At 47.5% G+C, this 14,367-nt stretch overlaps 1 pseudogene, besides 1 other annotated feature; it reads right to left on the reverse strand.

Annotated features, from left to right (window-relative positions):
- Positions 7,211 to 7,531, reverse strand: RN7SKP250 (RN7SK pseudogene 250; annotated as a pseudogene).
- Positions 12,470 to 12,639: a silencer, noted in NCBI's record as "fragment chr12:110105927-110106096 (GRCh37/hg19 assembly coordinates)". NCBI's record gives its function as "represses an EF-1alpha promoter that drives an FKBP-Casp9 reporter gene in an ReSE screen in phorbol 12-myristate 13-acetate-treated (for megakaryocytic differentiation) K562 erythroleukemia cells {active_cell/tissue: K562(+PMA)}" and the evidence as "EXISTENCE:reporter gene assay evidence [ECO:0000049][PMID:32094911]".

Raw genomic sequence — 14,367 nt, forward strand, 5'->3', positions numbered from 1 at the left:
GGGCCAGGCCTGCCAAGGTGCCCTAAGTAGTAATTGAAATATTAGCTCTGTGAACATGTCAGTGGCTCTGTGCTGAGAGGCAGCTCCTTTGGCTGTGAGGCAGGGCCCTCTCCTTTCCCCTGAGGGCCACATGGAGAGATCTGAGAAGCACTGGGACCTGGGCCAGCCAGAGGATCTGGGTTGGACCCTGCATCACTGTGCAGCCTTGATTAAGTCCTTTCCCTTCTCTGGGCCTTTGTATTATAAAATGGATACATCCATCCTTCCCGCCTCATCCCATGACTGAAATTAGCCTGGGGCCTGGCATACAGTACGTGCTAACTAAATGCTTGATGGGATTCACTAGAACAATATTTTCCAAGGTGAGATAGCTGTTCTACCTGCCCAGCATCATGTGAGGTGCTTGTTACAAACGCAAACTCCTGGGCCCCACCCGGAACAGCAGGTTCTGGGGCCTTGGAGTCTGCATTTGTGACAAACGCTCCCAGTGACCCCAGCTGGCACTGCCCAGCACCCCTGCTTCCTGCTGAGGTAGGAGGAGCAGCTTAGGCTTTGGGGCAGGCAGCTGAGCCTCAATTTGCTTACACATCAGTGAGAACAGAAATATTCACCTCTTGGGGCTTTGAGGAGGCATGAATGAGATATCAGGCATGACCCATAATAAGTACCCAGAAAATAGGTCGGGGGCAGTGGCTCAAGCTTGTAATCCCAGCACTTTGGGAGGCTAAGGCGGGCAGATCTGTTGAGGTCAGGAGCTCGAGACCAGCCTGGCCAACATGGTGAAACCCTGTCTCTACTAAAAATACAAAAATTAGCTGGGCATGGTGGTGGGCACTTGTAATCCCAGCTATTCAGGAGGATGAGCCGAGATTGTGCCACTGCACTCCAGCCTGGGCGACAGAGTGAGAGTCTGTCTAAAAAAAAAAAAAAGTACCCAGGAAATGATATTCCCCCTTCCACCCACCCATGCCCCTTTGGTGGAGGACCAAGCATCAGCATACACCCCCAAAGTGGGGACAAGTGGCTATCCTGCCCCTCAGGAGCCTCGTCAGCAGGGCCCGCTCCAAATGGATCTTTTCCCCCCATTTTTGCAGACAACATCAGCATCTCTTGGGGCGGGCCAAGAAAATGCCAGCGTCAGCACACCACATGCCCCAGCCAGACACCGCTGCTCTTTATTAATTAACCGCCAGATGTTAGTTTTGCATCTTTTATCAGAGGGAGGTTTGTCATCGGGACCTTGTATGTCAGGCCATTAGGGAGAGTCAGGAAAACATCCCTGGGGGGACCCTGGAGTTGGCAGGCAGCCGGGAAGGAGGACATGAAGCCAGGTGTCCGGCCCTCTCCCATGTGAGCCACACAGCCCCCAGCCCAGTGCACGCCTCTGCCCCAGCCGCCCCAGCCCCCAGTGCCTCCCTGGCAGTGGCTAGAGCAGCCAGCCATCTGGTCCTTCAAGAAAGGTCCCTGAGGAGGCTACTCGGGCACCAGTTCACTGGGGCCACCTTGGGAAGCAAAATAGCCCCAGCCCTGCTCTCCAGAGCTCACAGTCACAATGGAGAGAGCCACAATCCAGTAAACCCACATCAATAACATGATGACAAATTGTGATCTGTGTCATGAAGGAAACTGACAAGCTTCAGAGAGAGGGCAAACAGCAGGCCGGGGACCTAATTTAGATGAAGCGGTTCCCCTGGGGAGGTGACATTTAAGTGGAGTCGTGAAAAAGGAGCCAGGGGCAGAAGGTTCCAGGCAGAGGACACAGCAAGGACAAAGGCCCTGGGGCAGGAGCGAGCTTGGCACACTTAAGGAACTGAAGAAAGATCCGCAAGGCTGGAGCGTGGTAAAGGGGGCAGCCACCAGGCTGGCAGGGTTAGCTGGGCCCAGACCAGGGGTCCTCAGGGGACATGCGGAGGAGCATGAAATTCTTGTCCGGAGGGCACTGAGGAGCCACAACAGGCTTTGGAGCAGGGGAGCGATGTAGTGAAGGGATTTTCACGTTAGGAAGGTCCCTCTCTCTGCAGAGCAAGGAACAGATTGGCTGTGATATGGTCAATTGCAAAGGACAGCAGGACCCAAACAATGGCTTCATCAGGACACAGCATGTTCCGGGCGCTTCCTGGGTGCCAGGCAGGATTCACACTTCAAAGTTTAGGTGGCAGAAATGGCAAGTCTTATTCCTCCATCAGATGTGGGGTGTGAGGAAGAGTAAAGCACCTAGAGGGTTCCGAGTTCCTTGCTGCAGCCACCCCTGAGTCTTTTCATGCTCCCAACACCCTCCAAGACTGGAATCATGGGTTGTCTGCACTTTACAGATGAAGAAATGGAGGCCCAGAGACATGCAAGAGTGTGCTCAAGGTCACACTGCTAAGAGCAGCAGGTCTTGCATTTGAACCAGGTCTGCCTGCCACCGTCTTTACTGTGAACAGCTGTCCAAGCTCAGGCAGGTGGCAGGTAACAGCTCACCTTTACCCTGCTGCTTTGCGATGCCTGTTTCAACCTCTCCCAGTGACACAGCAAAGGCCACTGGGCAGAGCAGAGAGAGGGGTCTGCCTCGCTATCTGACCTGACCAGGCAGGGGTCAGTAAGTCCCAGCTCCGGGCTGTCCCAGCCCAAAGGTCAGCATCATCTCCCTGCAAATAGATATGGCCCCATTACTCTGGGTTATTATTTTCCACCTGATCCATGCACCATAGGATAAACAGGTGATTACTTCTCCCCTCAGTTCAGTTTCTGATTTGCATATAATAAATATCACCCCCAGGAAGTGTGTACGTGTTGTGTGTGTGTGCATGCGTGCACACACACACATACGTCGGGGGTTGGAAAACAGAGCTCATGTCTTATTTATGAGGAATAAACAGGAGCACAAGCTCACATAATCAACACATATTTAATCTGGCTCTTATTCACCCTTTTGACTCTAATGAGGCCGGGTCTGTGAGTGGCTGTGTGTGTGTGTGTGTGTGTGTGTATCTTTGTGTGTGCATCTGTGTATGTGTGTGTGCACAGGCTACAGAGGGATGCCCCTGCCAGAATCTTTAGTCCACCCTGGTCAGGGCTGATGGTTGGGGCATAGATGGCTGAAGACATCACCTGACCCTAGGGGTTCACTCTGGGGGTTCCTCAAGAGGTAGTTGGGGGAATCCAGACTTAAGATCTGGAAGGAGGGTATTTGCTCCCTCCAACAAGTTCACAGCGCAATTTTTTAAAATATTGCCATAATGTGTCTGAGCTATCCAAAATACTTGCAACCAGCAATATAAATTGTGCAGCATTAGCCACAGTTCTGTTTGCAGTGACATGTAATATCACATATTTTCAGCAAGATAGAAAAGCAAAAGTGAAAAAAAAAAAAAAGCCAAGCAGAATCAAGGTCACGTGCTCATGCACACCAGAGCCAAGACTTGAACTTGGGACTCAGGCTTCACAGCCCAAGTTAGTGCTACCTCATCATGCTGGCTTCCTGATCATGAGGAGAAAGAAAAACAACAGGAGAACCCATCAGTGTGCCCACCTGCTATTCTTCAGCTCCTGTTCCAATGAGAGAGAAACTGAGACCAGAAAAGTGAAGGGATTCGCCTATGGTCATGCACAAAACCATGCAAAGCTTTAATTCAAATCCAAGTCTTACTCTTTCGTTACAGTCACTATTTTGTGGACTGGGAATTCAGTCAGGGCACAGCAGGGACAGCTTGTATTTGCTCCATGATGACTGGGCCTTCATTTGGGGTGGCTTGGATGACTAGAAATGTGTCCCAGTTCTGCCGGGCATGGTGGCTGTCACCTGTAATCCCAGCACTTTGGGAGACTAAGATAGGCAGATGGCTTGAGTCTAGGAGTTCAAGACCAGCCTGGCCAACATGGCAAAACTCTGTCTCTGCAAAATATACAAAAGTTAGACAGGCATGGTAGTACACACCTGTAGTCCCAGCTACTTGGGAGGCTGAGGGAGAAGGATCATTTGAGCTTGGGAGGTCGAGGCTGCAGTGCGCCGTGATTGCACCACTGCACTCCGGCCTGGGTGACAGCAAGAACCGGTCAAAAAAAAAAAAAGAAAGAAAAGAAAAAAATGTTCCAGTCAAATGGTTTTTCTTGATTTTTCTCCAAGTTGAATATGCTGGGGCTGAAATGCCCACAGTGGCTCTTTCACTCACATATCTGACTCCCGGAATCAATGGCTGGGACATCTAGAGCTGGCTGAACACGTCCCTCCTCTCCACCCAGCCTCTCCACTTAGCCAGCTTTGGACTTCCTCACAATATGGCGGTCTCAGAGTAGTTAGACTTCTTACGTGGCAGCAGGCGTCCACCAGAGAAAACATTCTGAAATCATGGATGTGTTTTCTATTTTGGTATGCTTGTTTATTTCTATGAATACATTGTTTTTGTAAAGACACAAATGATGAGTGTGTGGTGTAAAAATTCAAACAGTAGGTCAGGCTCAGTGGCTCACACCTGTAATCCCAGCACTTTGGGAGGCCAAGTGGGGTGGATCACCTGAGGTCAGGAGTTTGAGACCAGCCTGGCCAACATGGTGAAACCCCGTCTCTACTAAAAATACAGAAAATTAGGTGGATGTGGTCACAGGCACCTGTAATCCAGCTACTTGGGAGCCTGAGGCAGAAGAATCTCTTGAACCCATGAGGTGGAGGTTACAGTGAGCCAAAACTGCACCATTGGACTCCAGCCTGGATGACAAGAGCAAGACTCTGCCTCAAGAAAAAAAAAATCAAACAATATGGAAAGTATAAAGATTAGAGCCAAAAAAAAAAATCAGAATTCTACCACCTAGAAATGAACGTTTGGTGAACTTCAATCAAGGAATTCTTCTGCAACCAAATTGAAAATCAAAGGGTGAATGGATGAATGAGTGACAGGCAAAAGGACGAATGGGTAAGTATATGAGTGGTGACTGAGTTGATGGAGAGAAAAAAAAGAAAATTTGGGAGGCCAAGGCAGGCGGATCACTTGAGGTCAGGAGTTCGAGACCATCCTGGACAACATGGCAAAACCCCGTCTCCACTAAAAATACAAAAAAAATTAGCTGAGCATCGTGGGAGCTTGCCTGTAATCCCAGCTACTCAGGAGGCTGAGGCAGGAGAATCCCTTGAACCCGCGAGCAGAGGTTACAGTGAGCTGAGATGGTGCCACTGCACTCCAGCCTCGGCAATAGAGTGAGATTCCATCTCAAAAAAAAAAAAAAACAAACAAACAAAACTGTGACTGTTGAGGATTCTAAGAGTTGAGGAAAGAGACAGCTAAGGTTCTGTGGATGTTGGAAAGGTGGTGTTAAGAGACCTGGCTCTCCAGACCTTCGCCCTAGCCACTCAGCAGCCATGACTGAAGCTCATCTTCTGCAGAGTCCAGTTCCCATAGAAATAGAGCATTCTAAAAATAGACCACTTCCCTCCAGTGAATCATCTAAGAGGAGATGGTCTCTAGCACGGGGGAAGGGGGCCCCCACCACACAGAGCCAGGATGGTTTACCCTCGACCGTGCCTCCACGCTAGTTACCTGCCTGAATCCTCCTTCAACTCAATCCGCCTTCAACTCAAACTCTCATCCTTCCCCGCCCTTGAGTGGCTCCTGCCACCTACAAGGTGGAGTCCAAACTATTACTACCATTCCTACCACCTCTACTACTATTACCACCATTCCTACCACCACTATTACTATTGCTACCATTCCTACCACCACTGTTACCATTACCACCATTCCTACCACCATTATTACTATTACCATCATTTCTACCACTACCATTCCTATCACCACTATTACTACCACCACTATTACTATTACCACCATTCCTACCACTATTACTATTACCACCATTCCTACCACCACTATTACTATTAATTATCACCATTCCTATTACCCCTCTTACTATTACTACCATTCCTACTGCCATTATAACTACCACCATTATTACTATTACCACCATTCCTACCACTATTACTATTACCACCATTCCTACCACCACTATTACCATTACCACCATTCCTACCACCACTATTGCTATTACCACCATTCCTACCACCACTATGACTATTACCACCATTCCTACTGCCACTATGACTATTACCACCATTTCTACCACTACCATTCCTGCCGCCACTATTACTACCACCATTATTACTATTACTACCATTCCTAACACCACTATTACTATTACCACCATTCCTACCACTATTACTATTACCACCATTCCTACCACCCCATTACTATTACCACCATTCCTAACACCACTATTACCACCATTCCTAACACCACTATTACTATTACTACCATTCCTACCACTACCATTCCTACCACCACTATTACCATTACCACCATTCCTACCACCACTATTGCTATTACCACCATTCCTACCACCGCTATTACTATTACCACCATTCCTACCGCCACTATGACTATTACCACCATTCCTACCACCACTATGACTATTACCACCATTTCTACCACTACCATTCCTGCCGCCACTATTACTACCACCATTATTACTATTACTACCATTCCTAACACCACTATGACTATTACCACCATTCCTACCACCATTATTACTATTACCACCATTTCTACCACTACAATTCCTACCACCACTATTACTACCACCATTATTACTATTACCACCATTCCTACCACCCCATTACTACCACTATTGCTATTGCTCCCACAATGACCACTATTACTCCCATGATTGCTGTTACTACTACAATTACTATTACTGTCCCCACTATTACTATTATTACCACCATTATTGCTACCTTTACTGCCACCACTATTATTACTAATTACTACCACTATTACTATTATTACCATACTACCAATACCACTAATACTGTTGCTACCACCACTGTTACCACAATTACTACTGCCACTATTACTACCACTATTGCTATTGCTTCCCCAATTACAACAATTGCTTTCACAATTGCTGTTACTACTACAATTATTCCTACCACCACTATTCCTATTACCACCATTGCTACCACCACTATTACTACCACTCTTGCTATTGCTCCCACAATTACTACTATTACTCCCACAATTGCTGTTTCTACTACAGTTACTACTATTACTACCACCACTATTGCTACTTTACTGATTACTGCCACTATTACTACTATTGCCACTACTATCAATACCACTGTTACTATTGCTACCACTATCACTACTACTACTCATTTGCCTTCTCCTTTATTCTTCTGCAGTAATCTTTATTGTTATTTACAATTTTTTACTACAAAGGTAACACATAATTCACTATAGAAAAGTTAAGAAATTAGAGATAATTTGAGACCTTGTTGGGAGGTTCTAGCAGGGGAGTGCAGCTACTCGTATACCCTTGACTGAAGACTGCTCCTCCTCTATCAGGGATTGTTGTCCTCTTTGACCAAGTGTGCAGCTTCGGGAGGGACGCACATGGAGTGGTGAGGGAGGAAGGGGACACCTACCTAGCCAGCCAGATCAGCCTAATCAACCCTGGCGATCAATGGGTTGACAGACTTCACAGCCAGATTGCCCTCACATCCAGGAAATTAGAGATAATTTCAAAGAAGAAAGTAAAATTCACCCCCAAGTACCGCCATCCAGAGGTGTCAGCCACATTAGGTCCCCAGTCCTGAGTGGAGTCTCAGGCGCTCCATGGCCAGCTGCACGCCACCTTCACACCCCATTTCCTCTCTGACGGTGGGCTCCAGCTGGACTGAGTCTCTAATGTTCCCACAGGCACCTGCCCGCTGTCCCCTTGCCTCTGGGCCTTTGCCTATGCTGTTCCTTCTGCGTGGCATGGCCTTCCTCTTGGACTTCATCTGGCTACCCCCCCCGCCCTGACCTTGCCACACTCCCTAGGCTCTGAGCATAGACCAGGCCCCCTAGGGAGCCTTCTCTGAGGACCCACACCCCTTAAGCTGGGTCTGGGGCCCCTGATGGACCCCCACAGTCCCCAAGCATCCCCAGTTGAAGCCCATCTCACCCTGTGTGATAAGTCCCTGTGTCCCTGTCTGTCTCCCCCACTGTAGAAAGCAGGGGTCATGACTGGGCCACCTCTGTATGCCTGTCACAGGCCTGCCACAGAACAGGGGGGTCTATACATGCTCATTGAATGAATGAGTGAATGCCTCAGTCTGGAAGGGCTTCTTAGAAGAGGTGGCATTCAAGCCAAGGTCTCAAACGTGGGAAAGAAAGTAGTCCAGACATAGGGCCAGGCAGCTTTTCCTGCACCAAATGATGGCTCTTCTGCATTGACTTTGACCTGGGCTGTCACCTGGGCCCAGAGCGTTTGCAAACCCTCTAGGCTCCCAGCAGCATGTTTGAGGAAGCCAGGCAGCTCCTGCCCTGTCCATGCCACCACACAGACACCACCAGATGTGAAGTGCAGGGGACCTCTGTGTGCTAGTGATTTCTCATAACCGCCCGCCAACAGACAAGGTGAACAGTTCACATTTACGAATCCTTGTTAACAGTGCGGCAGGAGATATTTCACTTTAAGTGCCCCTTTCTACGGAAAAAGAGAAAAAAATGATAACAGAAAATGTAAGTTATCTCAGCATGGAGAGATGCTGAGAGCTCTGAGCCAGGCCTTCAAGGAGACAGAACAGAGGCTAGAACATGAGGAGGGGAGTCCCTTTCATGCCCCCCCACAAGCAGTCAGGCCCCAGGGGCATTCCCAAAGCAGAGATTGGCAGGAAAGCCAAACCTAGCAGGGGAGTAAGGTGGGCACAGCATAGAAGCTGGCTCCACATATCCAAACAGGCAAAGAGAAAAGTACAGGGCTGGTTACGGCAACCTTTAGAAAACAAAAAAAGAACAAAACTGGAAACAACCTAAGTATCCATCAATAGGGGACTGCTTAAGTATAAATTATAATATGGCCATTTGAATGGAGTACTATACATTGAGGAAAAAGAATACAGTTGTTCCATGTGGACCAATAGAGAAGCATGTGCATGAAATATGACTAAGTGGAACAAGCACATTATAGGACAATTTATAGCATGGTACCATTTATGTAAAAGGAAGCATGTATTTGCTTGATATGCACATAGAAGTATGTGGAGAGAGTTACACAAAAATCTATTCACACGGCTACTCTCTGGGGAGTGAGATGGCAGAACTGGGGATGGGGAACAACTTTTGACCTTTGTTTCATTTACTTTTGTGTTAGTTTTTACTGTGTACAGTATTACTTATTTTTATTCTTTTTGTTTGTTTTTATACTTTTTTTTTAAAGACAGGGTCTCACTCTGCCACCCAGGCTGGAGTGCAGTGACACCATCATAGCTCACTGCAGCCTCAACCTCCAGGACTCAAGCAATCCTCCAGCCTCAGCCTCCCAAGTAGTGGGAGCTCCAGGCACTTGCCACCATGCCCGGCTCATTTATTTATTTTTTGTAACAATGAAGCCTCACTATGTTGCCCAGGCTCAATATTACTTTTATAACTTAGAAGTTTAAATCTTTTAAAATGTTAACTTGAGAGGAGGGAGTGTTTTATTTTTTTCCTTTATATCCTTCTCTATTGTTTGAATTTTTTACAACCATTATGTCTATAAATATAAAAATATAATACAATTTTTTTTTGAGATGGAGTCTTGCTCTGTCACCCAAGCTGGAGCACAGTGGCACGATCTCGGCTCATTGCAACCTCTGCCTCCTGGGTTCAAGCGATTCTCCTGTCTCAGCCTCCTGAGTAGCTGGAATTACAGGCGCACGCCACCAAGCCCGGTTAATTTTTGTGGGTTTCACCATGTTGGCCAGGCTGATCTTGAACTTCTGACCTCAGGTGATCCACCTGCCTCAGCCTCCCAAAGTGCTGGGATTACAGGCGTGAGCCACTGCGCTCGGCCATATAATACAATTTCTTTTTTAACAAAAATATGTTGGCTTTGATGTCAAGCAGATCTCGTTCTTGTTCTCAACCTTTCCTTTACCACCTGGTTGGCTCAGCCTCTCTGAGTATCAATTTCCTCTGCAGCAATTTTGGATATTAACAGAATGTACAGGCCAGGTGCTGTGACTCATGCCTATTATCGCAGCACTTTGGGAGGCCAAGGTGGAAAGATCTCTTGAGGCCAGAAGTTCAAGACCAGCCTGGGCAACATAGTGAGCTCTCATCTCTACAAATAATAATAATAATAATAATAAAGAATTAGCCAGGCATGGTAGTGCATGCCTGTAGTCCTAGCTGCTTGGAAGGCTGAGGTGAGAGGATCACTTGAGCCCAGGAGTTCAAGGCTGCAGTGAGCTCTGATCACACCACTGCATTCCAGCCTAGGCAACTGAGAAAACTTCATTTCAAAAGGGAGAGAGAAAGAGAGAGAGAGAGAGAGAGAGAGAGAGAGAATGTATGGAGCAAGTGTGCATTGCAGTGAATGTCAGCTTTATCATTATGATTATTATACCCCATCAAGGGAGATGGCAAGCTCTTGTACACCATCCCAGTTGGTGAGTTAATGCCCATCCCTGTGACAGACTCTATAAAGCTACTTAAAATGTTGTAGACCAGTGGCTCACAAACTGTTTTTAGGAATGTAATTCAGTTACAAATGAAATCTTAGGGGGAAGCCCAGAATGTATAACACAGGAAGAAGATTGTGTCAGCATTTAAAGTGTGACACCCATACTGAGTGGATGTTTGCAGCCTTATGTTTGTCCTGTATCCTGTCCCCTTCTTTTGGTGACAATACCCTGGTCTTCCTTTTGGGGGAAATGTCCCTCCCCCAACTCTCAAGCCCCTCCACAGCATCAGAGGTGGGCGTGGACCTGATGCCTAAAGCATCCTCTGGACACAGGGAAAGAAAGGTTCAGGGACCAGAATGACCAGTTAGGGCCAGTCAGTCTTGTCACTTCCATGCAAAGTGTGAAGAGAGGGAAGGTCCTTTCCTTTTTTTTTTTTTTTTTTTTTTTGAGACAGAGTCTCCCTCTGTCACCTGGGCTGGAGTGCAGTGGCGCAATCTTGGCTTACTGCAACCTCTGCCTCCTGGGTTCAAGCGATTCTCCTGCCTCAGCCTCCCGAGTAGCTGGGACTACAGGTGTGTGCCACCACTCCCGGCTAATTTTTTTATTTGTTTAGTAGAGACAGGGTTTCACCATATTGGCCAGGCTGGTCTCGAACTCCTGACCTCATGATCTGCCCTCCTCGGCCTCCCAAAGTGCTGGGATTACAGATATGAGCCACCATGCCCGTCCAGGAAGGTCCTTTGCTTCCTGGATTTGAGCCTGGGATGGGGAAGGGGTAAGCCTAGAGCTGCCAGAGGCCATCCTCAGAGCCTACGAATGAGGCCAATGCTGGGAAAGGTGAACCAGGGAGACGGGGAAAAATGGGCCCTGGTGACAAGGAGGAAAGCCCCTGAATCGCACTGTGCCTGAAGCCAGCACTATCCTCTGGAGTTTTTTCTTGCAGGAGCCATTATGCTCTAGTCAGTTGGGTTTTCTGTCACTTGCAACCAAAGAAGAGCTAAATGATATAATACATTTATTCATAAAGCCAGTTAGGAAAAAACAATGAAGGTGCTTTGATAGACATTAACATTTGAAATCAGGAGTTAGGGATGACAGCTGCTCTCTTTTATCATCCTTGCATTCAATTTCTTCTTCTTTTTTTTAGTATTAACTTATTTTTTTATTTTAGTTTAGTTTTTCAATTGACACATAATAATTGTACATATCATGATGTTTCTATACATATAATGTATAGTGATCAGATATCAGGGTTATTAGCATATCCATCATCTGAAACATTTCTCATTTTACATGCAACTTATTTCTGTATTTGGTTTTGGTTGCCTGATGGTTCCACTATCAGGGAGATCTGGATTCACAGGTAAGAGGTTGCAAATTGTTTGTGGTTTAATGTAGGACTTGGGTGCCCAAACGCTGGAGCAAGACAGTCAGAGCTCAAATACACCCCAGCTGCGGAATCTGGGGCAAGCCACTTGACCTCTCTGAGTCTCAGTGTACTAGCACCCACCTCACAGGAGGGTTGGGAATAGGAGATGAGTGAATACATGATACACGTGAAAGCATTTAGACAGTGCCTGACACCCGGTTTGGGTGAACTCGTGTTCTTATTCTGCCACATTCTAACTCATCGGAGCACCTGTGTGCTGCCTCGGGCTGACAGGTTTACCGGAATAAAACTTCACCTGCTATGTCGGTTTCATTGGCAAACATCCTGAGATGGCAGGGCATGCTTTTATAAAACTTATTTGCCACTGCTTCTCTGTGATTTAGGATTTTCTGGATAGTGACCTCAGAGCCGTGCTGCAGGGACAAAGGAACCTCTAGAGACGTTTTAGGAAAGTGATTTTGAGCTCAACATGCAGAACATGTTCCAGTGCATGAAGCTGTCTAGAGTGGACCAGGCTGCCCTCCAGGTAAGAGCTTCCTTTGTCAAGAAAGTGTTCATAATTAGGCTGATTGTCGTGCCGTGAGCATCATAATAGGGATGCCAGCACCAGATGGAAGGAAGACTTCATTCACACATTCATTCATTCAACAAACGTTTACTGAGTTCATTTTTTGTTTTGTTAAGAGTCAAGGTCTCACTTACTCTGTCACCTGGGCTGGAGTGTAGTGATGCCTTCATAGGTCACTGCAGCCTCAATCTGCTGGGCTCAAGGGATCCTCCCAACAACAGGTGCATGCCACCACACCCAGCTAGTTTTTTTAATTTTTGTAGAGACAGTGTCTCACTTTATTGCCCAGGCTAGTCTTGAACTCCTGGCTTCAAGCTATCCTCCCACCTCGGCCCTGCAAAGTGCTGGATTACTGGATTACCATGCCCAGCCTCCAGAGTTCTTACAAGGAGGCAGGCACTAGGCTGAACGTCCCCTCTAACTCTCAGATTAGGTAATTTCACAAGTAATTTCTTGCAAAGGTAAGAAAGACTCAGCCGGGCGCAGTGGCTCATGCCTGTAATCCCGGCACTTTTGGAGGCCGAGGCAGGTGGATAACCTGAGCTCAGGAGTTCGAGACCAGCCTGGGCAACATGATGAAACCCTGTCTCTACCAAAAATACAAAAAAAAAAAAAATTAATAACAATTAGCTGGACAATGGTGGCATTTTAAAAATTAGCTGAGCCTGATGGCACATGCCTGTGGTCTCAGCTACTCAGGAGGCTGAGGCAGGAGGGTCACCTGAGCCCAGTTCAAGACCAGCCTGGGCAACATAGTGAGACCCTGTCTCTACAGAAATTTTAAAATTTAGCCTGGCATGGTGGTCCACACCTGTAGTCCCAGCTACTTGGGAGGCTGAGGTAGAAGGTTCTCTTGAGCCTGGGAGGCAGAAGTGGCAGTGAGCCAAGATCACGCCCCTGTACCCCAACCTGGGTGACAGAGTGAGACCCCGTCTCAAAAAAAAAAAAAATGAGAGAGAGAGAAAGATTCCTTCCACCAGCCTTCTGTGGGCTGTTTTCATTTTTAAAGAGGATCAAGCGTGCATGCTTCATGCTAAGGACTGGGTTTCTGATGGTGGCCCCTCAGACACCACTGCAGCTTACCTGGGAGTAGAGAGGAAAGGCAGCCCCACCTGCCTTGCTACACATCTTACCTGCTGGTGTGAACAGAACAAGGAAGAAAGACACACCCCCCAACACCTCCCACCAAGGTAGGGTTTCAGATCATAACAGCAGTATTAAAAGTGACCAGCTAAGCCGGGTGTGGTGGCTCACACCTGTAATCCCAGCACTTTGGGAGGCCCACGCGGGTGGATCACTTGAGGTCAGGAGTTCAAGACAAGCCCAACCAACATGGTGAAACCACCTATCTACTAAAAATACAAAAATTAGCCAGGCATGGTGGCGGCTGCCTGTAGTCCCAGCTACTCAGGAGGCTGAGACCGAGAATCGCATGAACCTGGAAGGTGGAGGTTGCAGTGAGCCGAGATTGCGCCACTGCACTGCAGCCTGAGCAACAGAGTGACACTCTGTCTCAAAAAAAAAAAAAAGTGACAAACTAAGCATGTAACACATGTGAGCTCATTTCATTTCAGCTGCCCTGGGTCGGGGAGAGGGGTCGGGTGGGAAGGTGGGGATAGGTAGGCAGTTTGGAAGCAGATCGCCCTCCCCTACTCACTCACCAACACCTTCCCTCCACGTATGCACAGCGGAAGACCTTAACCTCCTCTATCCCCAGGTGAACAAACAGGCAAGTTGGAGAGCAGACGGTGGTACCAGCAGCAGGAACAGCAGATCAATCAAATTGTCTTCACCAGAAAGCCTAGATCAGGTGCCCGGAAAGAAAGCATCCGTCAAGGGGTAGAACATTGGCCTTCAAGGAGCGTCCAGTAGGCCCTGGAAGGTCCTAGCTCCATGGAACAGAACATCTCTATCTGTTGAGCATTTTCTGTGTGTCTGATAGTAATGACA

Source organism: Homo sapiens, chromosome 12 (assembly GCF_000001405.40).
Source record: "Homo sapiens chromosome 12, GRCh38.p14 Primary Assembly".
In the NCBI taxonomy this organism is placed as follows: Eukaryota; Metazoa; Chordata; class Mammalia; order Primates; family Hominidae; genus Homo; species Homo sapiens.